The sequence below is a fragment of the Homo sapiens genome, chromosome 9 (genome assembly GCF_000001405.40).
Source record: "Homo sapiens chromosome 9, GRCh38.p14 Primary Assembly".
NCBI classification, from domain to species: Eukaryota; Metazoa; Chordata; class Mammalia; order Primates; family Hominidae; genus Homo; species Homo sapiens.
Genome location: NC_000009.12, coordinates 109,871,277 through 109,889,144, shown reverse-complemented (window position 1 = coordinate 109,889,144; position 17,868 = coordinate 109,871,277). Strand labels below are relative to the sequence as shown.

The window sequence follows — 17,868 nt, the reverse complement described above, 5'->3', positions numbered from 1 at the left end:
TTTCAAGTAACTGAAACACTTTGTCATTTTGCACTGAGAATCACTAATGTTATCTTCATAAATCTTTTTAGGGTTCTGTATTCTGGAACTACTCGGTGGTGAGATTCTCATCTTAGTATCAATACACATAATGCCAGGCTTTTGAGCAGTAGTTCTCAACTTGGAGAGATTTTGTCCCCCAAGGCAACATTCAGCAATGTCTGGAGACATGTTTTATTATCATGACTGGGAAAGGGCAATGGTGCCCCTGGAAGCCACTAGGTAGAGGCCAGGGATGCTACTAAACATCTTGCAATACTCAAGACAGCCACTCACAACAAATAACTATCCAGCCCTAAATGTCAATAGCACAGCTGTTAAGAAACTCTGCTGTAGGGGGATGGAAGAAACAACAATAAGAACAGCACTATTCTTTTTTTTTTTTTTTTTTTTTGGAGGCAAAATTTTGCTCTTGATGCCCAGGCTGGAGTGCAATGGTGCGATCTCGGCTCACTGCAACCTCCGCCTCCTGGGTTCAAGTGATTTTCCTGCCTCAGCCTCCTGAGTAGCTGGGATTACAAGCGCCTGCAACCACGCCTGGCTAATTTTTTGTATTTTTAGTAGAGAAGAGGTTTCACCATGTTGGCCAGGCTGGTCTCGGACTCCTGACCTCAGGTGATCCATCTGTCTCAGCCTCCCAAAGTGCTGGGATTACAGGCATGAGCCACAGTGCCCAGCCAACAGCACTATTCTTACTGACAACCTGCTGTTCTTGGCACTTCACAAACACACCTGACCTCTACACATTACAACAGCACTGCAAGGTGGGTATAGTTTTCCCCAATGTACAGGCGAGGACACTTAAGTCCAGAGAGTTTACATGGCTTGTCCAAGATCAAACAACTTGTAAATACAGAACTAGGACTCCAGCCAAGTTTGGTCAAGCTCTGAGGTCCGGCTTTCTAGTGAGTTTGCTATGCTGGAGCCCTTTTCAGAAGCACACACTGTTTCCCGCAGAGGTTTAGACTGTACACAGGCTAGAAAGTGCAATCAGGAACAAAGGGCTTCCAAAAGAGACAGAAAGGAGCCAAGCCCAAAATGAAACCTGCACTTCATGAAAGAACCTGAAGGGGGCAGTCTCACCATCATGATGACCACCCACAATAGGCTGAAGACCGGCACCTCCAGAGTCATGGTGCGTCTGATGCACCGCCTTCTGAAGAAGCATGTGTGGAGGTTGAGGAGGGAGAATCACATTACCTGTCCCTCCTCCTACATCACGAGGTGCACGTTAGTGTAATTTCACTCAATATCAGAGGTCTCAAAAAAATTTAGCTTAAAATAACAACTTCTGTTGGGATTTTTGAGAACATGCTTTAGAATTAGGCAGAGTTGAGTTCAAATACTTGCTCTTTCACTTTTTTAAAATTATTTTTCATTCATCTTGTATGTCCTTCCATTGAATTTTTTTAGGGGGGGGCAGCAAGTTACTTCACCTCCTGTGCTTCTCTTCTCTCTTCATCATCATCATCATCATCACTACCTCATGGGAGTATTACAAGGCTTAAATTAGAAAATTAATGAATTAAATGGAGGCAGAAAAGCTAGGCCGCTACCCAGAAGGGAGTGACAAAACAGGAAATATTACACAATATAGAGACACTACTATATAGTTTACTGTATACATAGCATATATAGTTTTATTTTGGAAGGAAACAAAAGAATGGAAACAATAATTGGGCTGCAAATGTGGCTGAACGTGGGGTGGGGACCCCGGCTGGAAGTGCACAGATGTGGAATGCCACTGTGGAGTGTTCCCCTCCCTGCTCAAAAGAACAGTGAATCATGGAGTTAAAAATAGCAAATGTGAAGAACACAATGAATCTCAAGCAAGTGTCCTTTGTGATTTCAATGAATGTTTCAGTGGTTGCCTTTTCTAGAACAGTTGTAAGTAACTGTCATCTTCTTGGTTGCCAAACCCCACAACATAACATACAGATGCTTAATAAGATACATATGCTTATGCCTAATGTCTCTACGCCTTTGGCTTTGAGCCTCCTAACAATATGGAAAATTAAGTGAATTCTGGTATTTACCAGAGACCCACACAGGTACTCAGAGAATCACAGGTCCAATGTGGAAATGAAAAGTACACTTCTATCCTGATTTTTTAAAAGCTGCTTGGCTCTCTCTAGGTTAGCAGTTGAGACTTCAATATTTTATTCAATGAATATTTGATGTGACATATTTTAGAACAGACAGCTGTTCTGATGAATTAGTCATCTCTGTGATGAATCAGTTACTTATACCTAGCCTTTAGTTTTTTGAGAACTCAACCTCTTTCCTCCACTCTGACCCGTTTCCAAAACCACTTCCTTCTATAACAGTAACATTTCTCGGAACAGGTACACTGTTGAGAAAAGAGATCTCTAACCAACTCCTCAAATTAGAGAAACTCAGAATACCAGAGCTGGAAGATCCCGAGAGATGGCTCACTGAAGATATGAGGAAACTGAGACTGAAGAGAGCAAAAGACTTGCCCAAGGTCACACAGCAAATGATCAGCAGAGCTAGAATTAACATCCTGGCTTTGTGACAGCTCATCCCATTTTCATTTAATACTCCATGAAGTTTCTCATCTTCACTGGGGTTGGTCTGCCCCCAACTGATAAGGTTGGGAGATAAATTTTCCCCATATTTCTCACTAATCAAAGGAAGTTAAAAACCCTGTATTTCAAACACTTTAGTAAAACCCAGTGAAATGAAAGAGAATCTTAAGTGGGAAAGTGACAAGGTAAACAACAAGACTTGATGCTTGGGGCAGACATGAAGTAAACAGGGCTAGTGTGGCTCGAACTACCTACAATCTCCGAAAGTATCAACCCGAGGTCCACATGTGGCCTCCAGGGACCCACCACACACAATAATGGCACGGACAATGGCTGGCAATGGGCCCAAGCCAGAAACAATCTCTTGGGCTTTCTCAATACGTCACTCCAAAAAGAAGCAAAGCATACAGAAGATGTGGACATTCAAAAAATTCAAAAAAGGAAACGTCTACAGATTTTGCTTTCAACAATTCCAATCTTATTTAGCCTATTTTAATTCTGGTTTCCAGGGAGCCAAAAATATAATCCTGACATTACCCAGGGAAAAGCTGTGCAAAAGAATGACAATCTATTTCTCCACTGTGGCAGCCGGGTTTTCCTCTTCCTTTGCAGCTGCTTTGGTGTCACCCCTTCAAGACCACATTACTTTGAATTTTAGCAAGAAATCTTGGAAGAATGGTAGAATTTTCTGGCCTTTGGTAAAGCACACAGTTTTCCTGACCTGGATCATCTTTAGCCTGGTAAACCAAGGCTGTTTCTAATCCACTTCAAATGAAAGCTTAGCTCTACTGTGGGGCCTATGGAGGAGAGACTTCAGCTCTAAGCCAGAGCTACTCTCACCTACAGGAATCCCCAAAGCAGGTTTCACATATCCTTGGGTCAAAGTAGGAAGGCTCAGAAACAGTCTGAATCAAGGGTTGGGTTGTCCTTTATCCTTGTGTGTGAAGCCAGTTTTCTTATAAACATGATTTACTTCCCACTCTCCTTGGGGGGTTTCTAGGTATTAAAATGGGATTTCATTTATGGTCTATCCTTTTTTCCATTTACTGCAATCATTCTTGAACCTGACCATACAACAGAATTATCTGGAACACCCTTTTAAAAAACAGATTACAGGACTCCTTACTTGGATCACTAAATCCAAATTTCCTAGAATGAGGCCTGGTAATTCTTATTTTTAAAAACCTTCCCAAGTGATTCTAATGCCCAGGGTTTAATATTCTAGTTACATTTTTCCATCCTTCCTTCCTCCATTCCTTCCTTCTTCGTGGGCTGCCCTCAAAAGCTAAGCACCACATATAATAATTCTGGCAGAGGAACAACATTCGCCCTTCCAAACCACCACCAATTTATAAATAACATTTTGGAAAAAAACATGTCTGTAAACCTGGAACTTCTTGTACAGTTACTGGCACTGTAAAGAATCACAGAATAAGAATTAAAAGGTGATTATGTTCTTTCTTCTAGGAGGTATCTAGGGAAATAGACATCTAAGTAGAAATTTGCATGCTTTATTTGAAGTCTTTGCCATATTCAAAATGGCCTGCACATAAAGAATTAAGACATGGCCTAGATCCTACATACACTTGAAGTTCTGAGTTATGATACCATTATCCTTTTGTTATCTAAACTAAATGGCCCAATTTCCCTTAGTCTTTCTTTGTAGAAATGTTCCTTGTTCTTTGGTTACTATTCTCTATTCCTCCTTCAGTGTCTTCAAGCTATTCTTAGTTCAACAACAAGGACGAAAATACCTTCAGGGCACAACTGTACTAATATACTTTATAGTTTGCAACCAGTTTATGTATCTCTTTAGGAGAATCTAATTGATTGCTGGGGGTGACTTAGACTAGGGGGCCCAAATCTAAAGATCTACAGATTAATGTTTTGCCTTGAGTAATGAAGATTTCCCTTAAAATGCCTTTATTTAATGGTTCTGCATCTGATCTTATAGTTTTCAAGATTCCTATTATATAAAGATCAGATCGCAAATTTGATCTTGAAGTCACTCATATTCTCTCTTACTCTCTTCTTCCTTTCTCTCTGCATTCTTGCATTGTTTTAGTTAGTCCTCTTTATTTTTATTTTTATTCTTTGAAATGTAGTCTCACTCTGTTGCCAGGCTGGAGTGCAGTGGCATGATCTCAGCTCACTGCAACCTCCGCTTCCCGGGTTCAAGCGATTCTCGTGCCTCAACCTCCCAAGTAGCTGGGATTGCAGGCGACCATCACCACACTCATCTAATTTTTGTATTTTTAGTAGAGATGGGGTTTTGCCATGTTGAGCAGGCTGGTCTTGAACTCCTGACCTCGGGTGATCCACCTGCCTCGGTCTCCCTAAGTGCTGGGATTACAGGCATGAGCCACTGTGCCCAGCCAGTCCTCTTTCTTTTTAAATGTCTTTTCTGTAGTTTCCCTAATGCCGGTCCATTTTCCTGAATGCTTGCAGTTTTCAATTCAACAATCATGCTCCTGGAAAACTGAATTATTCATCCCCATTCTTCACCCTTCCCTGATCTGTGTTCCTTCCACTAAAAGTTGGCTGGCTGTCTCTTCCCTTGGTTTTGGGCTTGCTCATTGACTTGGTTTGGCAGATGGCTTGTGGGCAGTCTGAGCCTAGGCCTTGTTTCTGCTCAGCCCTCTTGTACCTCTCCCATTGCCAGAAAGAGACAGCATCATGGTTAGCCTGTTAGTGCAGGGTAAACAAGAGTGGACTCAGGCAACACGCAGATTAGAGTCACGTAGGTGAGCTCAGCCCTATCAGCAGAGCCATGCCAGCCAATCCACAGGGACTTTGTAACACCGTAGGGTGCTCATGTTTGCAATGAGCCTTTAGAACTATTCAAATGTCATTCTGTGAGTGAGAACTAAGCTATGTTCAACTACAGAGAAATGTCTTAGGTGACTGAGTGTCCTTTATGGGAAGAGAGATAACAGCTCTTTCTTCCCATGGGATTGAAGATTAAAGACACTAATAACCATTGTGGTAGAGAAGATGCCAGCAAGATGAAGAGAAGCAGAAGCTGACTTCCAGGGTAGAAGAAACTCCTCCCTCAGAAGGCCCTGCAGAGGAAACGATGCTCACCACAGTCCTGCTCCTACAGAAAGCAGCTCCAGGGAGCACAGCTCATCTCAGCACACATCCAGTGCCCATTTGGCCCAAAGTCATGACTAAGACACAAGAAATGGCCCCTGAATCCAGGCCTCACCATCCACCCCTGTAGGCTATTGTGATTTCCTTCCTCTGGCTTGGGATTCTAGCTCTAAATGGGTGAGACTGCCTGCATACATTGAGTGTGCTCTTTATTCCATTGACGTAAAGGACGTAAAGGATAAAAAGAACTTTAACAACTTTTCTTTGAGTATAATCATGACCACCTGAATAATAAACCAGCCCCTAACCCACAACACCTCCTTCCAATGGTCAATTTACCCAGAAACTGAGTCTCAGTTTAAGACTCTAGCCTCCACACGCAATGGCTCATTCTACAAGTGCGAGTTACCACCTATTGGACCATAATAACAACATATTTGCATTCAAGCCAAGGTTAAACTGCCAATTTGATTGGAAGACCATGTTTCCCAGTGACACTTAAGAAAAACAGAATAGGACGGACACGGTGGTTCACACCTGTAATCCCAACACTTTGGGAGACTGAGTGGGAAGAATCACATGAAGCCAGCAGTTCAAGACCAGCCTAAGCAACATAGTGAGACTCTTTCTCTACCAAAAAAAAAAAATAATAATAATGCTAGGCACAGTGGCATGAACTTTTATTCCCAGCTATTTGAGAGGCTGAGGTCGGAGGATAGCTTAAGTCCAGAAGTTTGACGCTGCAGTGAGCTATGATCGCACCACTGCAGTCCAGCCTGGACAGCAGAGTGAGATCTCATCTCTTAAAAAAAAAAGAAACAAAAAGAAAAATAGAAAAGGTCATGTAACTAATTTTATCCTATTTTCCAAATCCTTTCTGCCTTCTGTCTATAATAACACCTACTCTCTCTCTATATATATATGTATATGATATAAATGGTTGGTAACAGTTTAGCCTTTATCCTTTGTATTCTAAGAAAAAGCATGTGCATGTACACGGGTGTGTGTGAGTATACATATGTATATGTACACACAAACCCTCCAAACTTTTTCTTGGCCAGTTTCCTTCACAATGTTTAGCCAAGCTGCTCTGAAAGCTCTTTAAGACATGTGAGGACCTAAGCAAAGTAGGGACATAGGCTGACGTATGCCTTTGGGATTTACTTGGCTTGCTTTTCCCTTTAGTGACACTATTACAGGTGCCCTCAGAGTCTTAATTTGCTGTTGGTTATAAATGGCTGGTAGCAGCTTAGCTATTACCCTTTATTTTAAAAGAGCTCATGCCAGGTGCGGTGGTTCATGTCTGTAATTCCAGCACTTTGGGAGGCCAAGGCGGGTGGATCACAAGGTCAAGAGATCAAGACTATCCTGGCCAACATGGTGAAACCCCATCTCTACTAAAAATACAAAAATTAGCTGGGCGTGGTTGGTGCACGCCTGTAGTCCCAGCTACTCGGGAGGCTGAGGCAGGAGAATCGCTTGAACCCGGGAGGCGGAGGTTGCAGTGAGCCAAGATTGTGCCACTGTACTCCAGCCTAGTGACAGAGCGAGACTCCATCTAAAAAAAAAAAAAAAAAAAAAAAAAAAGAGCTCATAAGCTCAGAAGACAGAGATGAAGCTCCAGGTGGTGAGATTTCAGGTAGAATTTGGTGGGATGGGTTGGAGGGACAGATTTGGTTCTAAGGCATCTATGCTTACCACCTTCCATCCCTATCTCATATCTCTCTGGCTAGGTGTCCTGGGACCTGGAGTGGCTATAGCTCCCAAGTAAAAACCTACATTATTGCTCTTGTGTGAGCCTGGCCAGTTATTGCCCACAGACAGGTCGCTTATCTCCCAGATTGAAGTGATCAGATCCTGGTTGAGAACCATAAAGAAACCACTCTCTGAGCAGTGAAAGCAGACAATACAAAGTTAATTTTTAGAGCACGGGCACATAACCTACAGAGGTGCTCTCACTCAGCACTTCCACACTCTTCATTTCAATCCCAAGACTGTTGACTACAGTTTTCACATTTCGAATTGACCAAATACAGCAAATTTGAAAACAGACTCACTACAGCAGCAATAACAGCTAACAACCTGACCCGAAGGAGGAAAAAGATGAAAGCTAATATAAGAACTCAAAGGGAGCACCTAGTGAAGGGGCAAGCTGCTCACAACACCTTGTGGGCCCATGAAGCCATCACTGTGCTGTATTACAGCCCAGTGCAATAATTAGTACTCTTTGCAGCCACAAAAAAGGATGAGATCATGTCCTTTGTAGGGACATGGATAGAGGTGGAGGCCATTATCCTTACCAAACTAACACAGGAACAGAAAACCAAATACTGCATGTTCTCATTTATAAGTGAGAACTAATGATGGAACACACGGACACGTAGAAGGGAACAACACACACTGGGGCCTTTTGGAGGGTGAAGGGAGGGAGGAGGGAGAGAATCAGGAAAAATAACTAACGGGTACTAGGCTTAATACCTGGGTGGTGAAATAATCTGTTCAACAAATCCCCACGATACAAGTTTACCTATGTAACAAACCTGTATTTGTACCCCTAAACTTAAAATAAAAGTTAAAAATAAAAATAAAAAATTATTAGTACTCTGTGTCATAACTCTGGGTCATCTGGAAAAGTTTAAACAACATCAATGTGCTTTGTTTAGGAAGAAAATTCTCAAGTACAGGAGAAGGTAACAGTATTGAGAAAGGCCACCTAGAGGAGAGCAGTGGTTACTGCACTGAAAAACTGTAGCATGGGTTCCCTGGGCTGGAAGCCACCTACCTCTGAATGTTATCTTCAAGTTGCTTGACTCTGAACTCATCCTCTTCAGACTGCCGCCTCCTGGCTTCCTCCTCTTCGGCAGTTCCAGCGGGTATGCCCTGCAGCAGCCATTTCTCCCGAAGCACTTTGGACTGTGGAAGTGAGGGAAGACAACAGACAAGATGATACTTTTCAGTCCACACTGTCCTCTCCCTCTGCAGTGGTGCTGTTTTAGCTCCACCCCTCACCAGCGCTGCCTGAATCGCTGCCTTCACCTCCTCACTAACATGGCTCCCTACTTCCCTCTAGATCAACACCCAAGGAGATTTATCTCTATATCATTTTCTATTATTAAAAAAATTTAAAAATAGAACTGTATAATGAATGACCATGTAACCTCATCTAGATTTAACAATTATGAACATTTTGCCATATTTTCCCATATGTTTCTCATCAAATGATTTTAAACTAAATAACAACCATATTTTACCCAACAATATGTCAGTATGAGTCTCTAAAAATTAAGAACATTTTTCTATGCAACTGTAATTTAATTAAAAAACTTCCTAAGACCACCTAATATCTGGTCCATATTAAAGTGTTTTAAAAAGATTGTCAAGACTCTTCTTCAATGACTCCCTTCTTTAATGACTCCCAATCATCTTCAGTAATAATCTCCAAATGTTATAAAAATCATATGCCCCTAGATGGGCACCGTGGCTGATGTCTGTAATCCCAACACTTTGGGAGGCTGAGGCAGGAGGATTGCTTGATTCCAGGAGTTGTAGACCAGCTTGGGCAACATAGTGAGACCTTGTCTCTACAAAAAATTAAACAATTAGCTGGGTGTGGTGGTGCACGCCTGTAGTCCCAGCTACTTGGGAAGGCTGAGGTGGGAGGATCGCTTGAGCCAGGTAGGTCAAGGCTGCAGCGAGCTGTGACCGTGCCACTGCACTCCAGCCTGGGTGATAGAACGAGACCCTGTCAAAAAAAAAAAAAAAAACCATACATCCCATGTTTGCAAGTGTACTACGATACAGTACAGTGGAATAAAAAGCTTTTGTTTCAGGTCAATGGTTCGGAGGCAGCAATTACTGCTTTGAGAAGGGAAATGAAAACAGTTCCAGAAAAAAGCATGTTGAAATTCCCTAAAAGGAAGAGCAAGGAGAGGTAGATGTGAGAGGATAATTTTGATTCAGGTTCCACTTATATGGTCCCTAGATGGCAGACGGCAGCAGCTACTGACCCTGTACATCATGGCTAAGGACCAGTGACCATGCCCATGGGCAGGTCAGTGGTCACCAGAGGGGACCACAGTGAGGATGCAGGGCACATGAACAATTCTTCCCAGAAATAGTAAGCAACGAAAGGAACAGCAGGAGCAATGACTATTAAGCCACCTAACACAGAATAAAGACCTGGCTCTTTGGCTCCCTGGCTCACTGGCATCACCTCTGTCCAGAATTTCGTTTGATCTCATCAGGCAGGGTGAGCGAGGTGAAAGGAAAGAACTCTTCTAAAGACTGAGAGCCAGGGAATGGAGGCTTGGAGCACTCCCTGAAGCTCTTATGAGCGAAGGATGCACAATTCCATAGACTCTCATTTGTATGCGGCATTAAGGGCATTTTATTATGAACTGATGAGTCTTTAAAAATAACCAACACTGGGCTGGGCACGGTGGCTCGCGCCTGTAATCCCAACACTTTGGGAGGCCAAGGCAGGCGTATCACCTGAGGTCAGGAGTTCGCGACTAGCCTGACCAACATAGAGAAACCCCATGTCAACTAAAAATACAAAATTAACCAGGTGTGATGGCATGCGCCTGTAATCCCAGCTACTTGGGAGGCTGAGACAGAAGAATCACTAGAACCTGGGGGGCAGAGGTTGCAGTGGGCTGAGATCATGCCACTGCACTCCAGCCTGCGCAACAAGAGCGAAACTCCGTCTCAAAAAAAAATTACCAACACTTAGTATTAGTAAGTTAGACTTCACTAATGGTCCTGATTCACCATTCTATTGAGAAGTCCAGGGGTCATCTGGTGCTGTAGACACCCTGCTCCATGCCCAGGAGCAAGTTCAATCAACCTGGAATTCCTGCACTTCCAGGAGAGACTCTGTGTTGACAATACATCATCAGTGTGGGTTCAGGTGACCATGGTTTTTATTGATGTTATTCTTGCCTTTTCATTACAAATCATTGTTTGTAGAGATCTCTTTGATTACTCTTGCAGCACATAGGCAAATTTATGGTACTTGACCTGTAATTTTTTAATAATTAGGCTTAAAGACTTGAGTTTGTTCACATAGAATTATTCCTAACTATACTCTTACAGTGATTATAGACAGGATCCACCCCCACACCTCAATATGCGTAAACAGCTATGCATCACTGGTGACATGCTGCCTGTTGAATGTGCTCTGTATAAATAGTGTGCATCTACCACCAGGGTAGGTATTAAAATGTACAGTTTTTACATTATAGGGCATCGTATGATAGTATAAAATCATGTGTAAAAGAGGGCAGTACAATTTGCTTACGTTGGTTGCTTATCAAAGCTTTATCAGAGATTCTTTTCCATTGGAAAGTGGGAAAGGGTGGGGCAAATCGGTTGCTCTTTCTACAAAACATTCAGAACCATTGTTCTCCACAAAAACCTCTCAAAATTTCCCCGACAGACCCTGTTTTGCACATTATGAGAGGCCATTTTTTAATCAATTCATGTTTTTATATTTTTATTCAGATACTTAATCTGTTGTAGGCACAAAATAAATTGTTCATTGGTAGCAATTCTGAAGTAGAAGAATGATTATTGCTTTGCTTTTCTTGAACTATAACTTGGCTCTGAAATTTACTCTCAGGAAGAGGGTAGAGACTGCAAGAGGCCATGCTGAACAGTGGCTAACAGCCTGAGCTCTGGAACCAGTCTGCCATTTACCAGCTGAGTGAGCTTGGACAGGCTCCTTCGCCTCACTGAGCCTCAGTTTTCTCATCTGTAAAATGGAGAAAATAGCAGTGCCCAGCTCAGAGGGTTGTTATGAGGATTAAAGGAGTTTATAGGCTAAAAGGGCCACACACATACTTAGTACTATAGAAATGTTTACTATTGTTGTTGTCCATCCTGTTCCCTTGGCCTCTGCTTTATTTACCTAAGAAAGAACAAGTAAAATACCACCAGAGAAGCCTTCCACCTCTACTGGCTCTGAGACACACTCTATGGCCCTTTCATACTATCCTCAAATTCTTTCTTTTTACATCTGTTCCCCCTGTAGCCTGCTGGTTCCTGGAAGGCTAGGACTGTCCTTTATCCACCTTCACATTCACTGTGTCACCTAGAATTTCCCAATTCATCCATTTATTCATTCAGTCAATGGAATTGTAGCCCAATTCCCTATAATGAATGAGTAAATGGATGAACTGGGAAATTCTCAACTTTCCTTCTCTCTAATTATTTGGGAGGGGTAGGGACCACACTTTCAGGGTGCTTCCTGTGCTAAAGATGTCCAAACCACAGATAGTAAAAACCTTAGGATTCTGGGGGATAGACATCCTGGAAGCCTTGGCGTTGGTGTGGACCCTTCTGGAAAAGCAGCCATGGACAGTCCTGGCTGTCTCCACACCAGCAGGGATGTTCTGCAGCCACAACTTCTTGCAACGTAAATGGCTGCTCTTGGAATGTTCTCTCTGCTGTTCTTCACACAGTGCCTCCTGCCATCACATGAAGGGTCTAGCCCCTCACTTCTCACCAACTTAGCTGCCACCATCAGCAGGTAGCTCTGGCCAGAGCAGCCTGGTGACTCTGGTCACCCAGAGGTGCATGTCCCTCTACTTCCATCTCTTTTCTTGATATAGGCATGACATCATTAAGAACATCCCAACAGGAGGAGCCAGGAAGAGAGGCTCCAACAGACAAAGGCAGTAGTGGGGCTGGGTGTGGTGGCTCATGCCTGTAATCCCAGCACTTTGGGAGGCCAAGGCAGGTGGATCACCTGAGGTCAAGAGTTCGAGACCAGCCTGGCCAAAATGGTGAAACACCATTTCTACTAAAAATACAAAAATTAGCTGGGTGTGGTGGCGAGCACCTGTAATCCCAGCTACTCAGGAGGCTGAGGCAGGAGAATTGCTTGAACCCAGGAAGCAGATGTTGCAGTGAGCCGAAGATCACGCCACTGCACTCCAACCTGGGCAACAGAGCATGACTCTGTCTCAAAAAAAAGAAAGAAAGAAAAAAAACTGGAAAAGGCAGTGGGCCTGGTCTCAGAGAATCCTGTTTCACAAAGGTGTTTAGACATTTTTAAGAAGCCGAAAAAGCATAGTTGATTTTCTACTTGGCTCCAAAGTCATGCTTTCAGGGGAAATCACCAATTCAAAAGGCTTCCTTAACTGACTCCAGATCCCCCTTATGTTGTCTCCAACATGTCTCCAAATGGAATGGTGTATACTGAGTGCACCATCCAAAGCACAGGGTCCCCTATACTGTGCTAGCTTGTATTGGCTGCCTCAGTGTTTCAGAATTTAGCGGAAGCAGAGCTCAATAGAAATAAAAAAATTAAAATTAAAAAAAACTTTTCTCTGTTTGTGGCCTTTATTGTCTAAATAACATACATCAAAAAAAAGTATCATAGCTAACATAGTATCATAGCTTTAGTAGAGATAAGGTTTCACCATGTTGGCCAGGCTGGTCTCAAACTCCTCCCAAGGTGCTAAGGACTGTCAAACTTCACATTTGTCAAACGAATGTCATCATGGCAAGTCAATACAAGGAAGGAGCAGGTGGGGAGCTGGCAGCTGGACAAAGGGAAACTTGACAGGGGCTTCTGAAAGGAGGACAGAAGGAACTCCCAAAGTAAATCTGTTTCTGGCTCTACTGGCCTGGCCAGCTTTGGAAAACAAAAAGCAAGAACTGAGTTTCCCAAACTTCAGTATGCATAAGGACCACCAGGAGAACTTCCTAAGACACAGATTCCAGGACCCACCCATGGAGATGCAGATTCTCTAAGTCTCGCATAAGGCCTGGGAATTTGAATTTTAACGACCTCCCAGGTGATGCTGTCACTGGCAATGCCAGACTGAGGACCACGATTTGAGTAGCACAGCATGAGGACCTATGACTATCCAAATGCTTGAAGAATACACAAGCTTTCTCAATGGCTGGTCAAACACCATAATCTAAAAGAACTCCCCATCCTCTCCTTCTGTGTCCCCAACTCAGGAGCAGTGGCTCTCTTATCCCTTTCCTAGGTGCCAAGAACTCTGCCAGTCCCTGAAGTCACAGCTCAGGAAGACAGGCAAGTCCCTACTCTCACTCAAGCCTTCATCCCAATAAACAAGGATGCAAGATAATCTCAGACTATGATGCTGCCTAGGAAGAGGTAGACAGGACAATGTGACAAAGAGGGACCAGGGGAGGACATTTAAAGTGGGAAAGGTCTCTCTGATGACTTGAACATTCAAGCTGAGATCTGAGATCCGGAGGGGTGTTCCAGGTGGAGGGACTGGCAAATGTACCAGCCTGGTGGTAGGACAGAGTTTGGTGTGTTTGTGGACCGGAACAAATGCCCGAGTGGCTGGACCATAATAAGTGAGGTTGGGGTGGGAGGGCAGAACAAACTGAAGATGGAGAAGAAGGCAGGGGCCAGATTAGGTAGGATTCTGTAGCCTTGTTAAGGAGTTTGCTGTGTCTTCTAAGCCCAATAGGAAGAACACATTGCAAGGGGCAGGATTACAAAGTACAAGTGATGGGAGTTTATTGCATGGTTCAAGTGACAGAGAATATTAGCTTGAAACAGAAGAGAGACAGAAGAATCAAAAGGCATGGTGGTACATTCTGGAGGTAGAATCAGTGTGACTTGTAACAGATTAGATGTGGGCTGAGAAAAAGGGAAGGATTAGGGCAATGCATAGATATTTGGTTTGAGTGAAAGGGTGAATAGTGGTATCATCAACTGGAGACAGGGAAGAGTAGAACAAATGATAGAAAAGCAGAAAATAAAATCTTTCATTTTGGGCATGTTAAGTTTCAGAGGCTTCTAAATGAAAGTGACATCCATCTAAGCGGACATGTCAGAAAAGCAGTTGAACATGGAAGACTGGGATTCTCAATTTGGCAGTCATATATACATAAATGGTATTTGCAGCCATAGTACTGGGTGATGATGGTGACAATAATGATAATTCTTATAGAACTCTTACTGCTTTATGTGCTTTACATGTAAATCCACTTAACTTTCACAAGCATCCCATGAGGTAGGTGCTAACATTAACTGACTTATCCATGGTATCACACCGAGTGAGCTGTAGATCTGGGATTTGAAGCCAAGAGGTACACTCTACTATCTTGCCTCTGTGTAAGATCACCCAAGAATCCTTTTTTCTTTTTTGCTCAAATAGGATTTACAAAATCATCAGGTGCCACTGATCCACTTCATAACATGGAAAACTATTTTTCAGCTCCTCTAATGGTGGGTTCCATATTGATGCTCTCTCTCCCCCACTTGCCCCTGAGTTCTCACAGTCAGGACTGTATCTTTTATTCATCCACGGAGGCTGACATGTGAGGAATTCTTGGAAAATCATGCACATACACTGTACTTTAGCAAATATAAAATCTTGGATCACTAAAGCTAAAAAAAGATCACAGAGATCATCTAACCCAATCTTTTTCATCTACAGCTAAGGTAACTGCAATGAAGTCACTTTTCTTACTTTCCTTTATTTTTTATTTTATTTTTGTAGAGATGGAATCTATGTTGCCCAGGCTGGTCTCGAATTCCTAGGTTCAAATGATCCTCCCACCTCAGCCTCCCAAGTACTGGGATCACAGGCATGAACCACTGTGCCCAGCCTAGATACCACTTTTTGAGGTGACCCCGGTGAAGAGTGAGGCATGTCTGGAGAGGCTGGGTGGGGCAGATTGGGGAAGTAGGAGGTGAATGAGAACTTGTAATAAGTCTCCTGTTGTTTCCTGGTCAGATGTTTGTTATTTTTATAAAGTCATAACTGGCAATCTTTTTTACTTGCACATTCTGGCTTTGATGTCATACATAGATAAGACTTCCTTACCCTCACTATAAAAATATTCACCTGTGATTCCTTTGTGTACTTTCATGATTTTACTTTTTACTCTGGATCTTTCATTCATTTGTAATCTGGCTGAAGCTGATATTGGCTATTCTAGTGGATGATGGTTGGAATATGGCTAAATTCAATTTTATTTTATTTTATTTTATTTTATTTTATTTTATTTTATTTTATTTTATTTTTTAATTTGAGATGGAGTCTCACTGTGTCACTCAGGCTGGAGTGTAGTGGTGTGATCTTGGCTCACTGCGACCTCCACCTCCCAGGTTCAAGTGATTCTCCTGCCTCAGCCTCCCAAGTAGCCCAGCTAATTTTTGTATTTTTAGTAGAGACAGGGTTTTGCCATGTTGGCTAGGCTGGTCTCGAACTCCTGACCTCAGGTTATCTGCCCGCCTTGGCCTCCCAAAGTGTTGGGATTACAGGCATGAGCCACTGCGCCTGGCCTAAATTCAGTTTTCTAACAGAAAGTGGGTTAAACTCAGCATGAGGCAATAGCTGTGTTTGTGTTTTCAGTCATTTATCTGTGTCCTGTCCCTCTTTCTCTTCCCCTATCCTTCCCACTCTTTCCTTCCTCTTTCTTGACTCTCAATAAATAAGATCTTGGTTTGGTTTTGAGATTTTGTTATATGCTTCAGTCCACCCAGGGAGAAGCCGACCCAAGACTTCTGATAGAAGAAATCAGGTTTTAACTTCCATTCAAGCTCTGGGTATGGAAACAAGGGAGGAGATCTAAGGTTACTTTACACTGTGTACTGTGCCTATCTGTTCAATATTTTAAAATTTGAAATAAGTCTTTCACACATCCCAGTAACAAGAAAAAGTCTAAAATTAGTGCTAAATGTTCAAAACCGGGAAAGACACTGTAATATCTTTGTAGCAAGTCTTCTGATACCTTCAGGCTCTTCAGCAAATGACCTTAGTGGGTTGACAACAAATATTTCACAGGGTCACAATTCAGCCTTTCATCTTTTTTCATTCAGCTTTCTTGGAAGAAAAGGCTGTGGTCTTCCAAATATAATGACAATTTTTATAGCTTGGATTAGAAGAAAACTCTAGTGAGGGTTCCCCGCTCATGAATAAGTAATTCAAAGGCAGTTTATGTATTGAAGACGTGGTATTAGCAATTTGATTCTGACAGGGCCAACTCTGTCAGGCAAACCTTTGTAAATATGACAGTCTCCAAGGAATTCATGTTGCAGTAGGTACTCAGTGCCTACTCTGTGCTGGGACTTTGAACAGACCAATAAAATAGACAAATCTCTGGCAATTCAACCAAGGGACAGAAGGAAATATTAAATTCCTTCTGCTCTAGTATGATATAGTAGCTGATTTATTTTAAAAAAATCCATATCATCACAAGTCTCATTATAAAAACAATAAAAATAAATAATTGTTCCTATGAAATAAAAAGCCAAGACAATTTTTCAAAAGAATAATGATAGTTCTTGTCTTATGAAATATTACAATATATTAAAAAGCTATAGGGATTAAATGAGAACAATACTGGCACAGGAATGGGCAGATTAATGGAATAAAAATAATCCATAAATGGTAGACTCAAATGTAAGTCAGAAATATGTAGGTGATAAAGAAGACATTTAAATCAGTGAAGGAAAGGATGAATTAATCAATAAATCACATTGAGACAAGCAGCTCAGCATCAGTAAAAAGTAAAGTTATATTCCTACTGCATACCTCGTCTGTAAATAAATTCTAGATGAATTAATGCTATTGAAGTATAAGAAACATAATAGCTAAGAGTTTGAGATGGAGACATTCTTTTCAAGGAAGACATCAAAGTCAGTTATCCTAAAGTAAAAGAATGCTCCATGGGATTTTATAAAAATTATAAGTTTTTGTATGGGTATTAAAAAGAACCCACATAAAAAAGAGGTAAAGGTTAATGTTATTCCAATGCTAATGTTAATATAATTTCATTTTACCCACAGGTTGGTGAGCCCTGTGAATGATGGTTACATATCTTAATCTACAGAAATATATCGGGGAAAAAAGTATAGAAGGATTTACCTCTGCATGGGTTCTATCTGAATGGTAAGTATAGAGTACATATGTTTTTTCTTTATATTTTGCTGTACTTTTTAATTTAGTTTTTGCAATGATTATACATTCTTTCCTTTTGTAATCATCAAAAATAATATAGCTATAAAAATTGCTTACTAGTTCTACTTGTAATGCTTAGAAATTATTACACCACACTACGTATAGCTAAGGATGCTTTAAAAATACATCTGAGTTTAATTTGGCCTGGAGTTCAAAGTATCTTGAGGTTTCCTAATCACTGGGATGTAGCAGTTAGTATTTTACCATTTTATACTTTAGTCTTTTAC

At 41.9% G+C, this 17,868-nt stretch overlaps 1 protein-coding gene across 14 annotated transcripts in view; it reads right to left on the bottom strand.

Moving 5' to 3' along the window:
- The window catches only part of PALM2AKAP2 (PALM2 and AKAP2 fusion), a 531,726-nt gene that overhangs the window by 283,368 nt on the left and 230,490 nt on the right, over positions 1-17,868 (bottom strand). For all 14 annotated transcript variants that reach the window (NM_001037293.3, XM_047423410.1, XM_047423411.1 and 11 more), the window contains one exon: positions 8,464-8,594. In NM_001037293.3, coding sequence (NP_001032370.1) covers positions 8,464-8,594 — 131 coding nt within the window. The remainder of the gene's footprint in view (positions 1-8,463; positions 8,595-17,868) is intronic.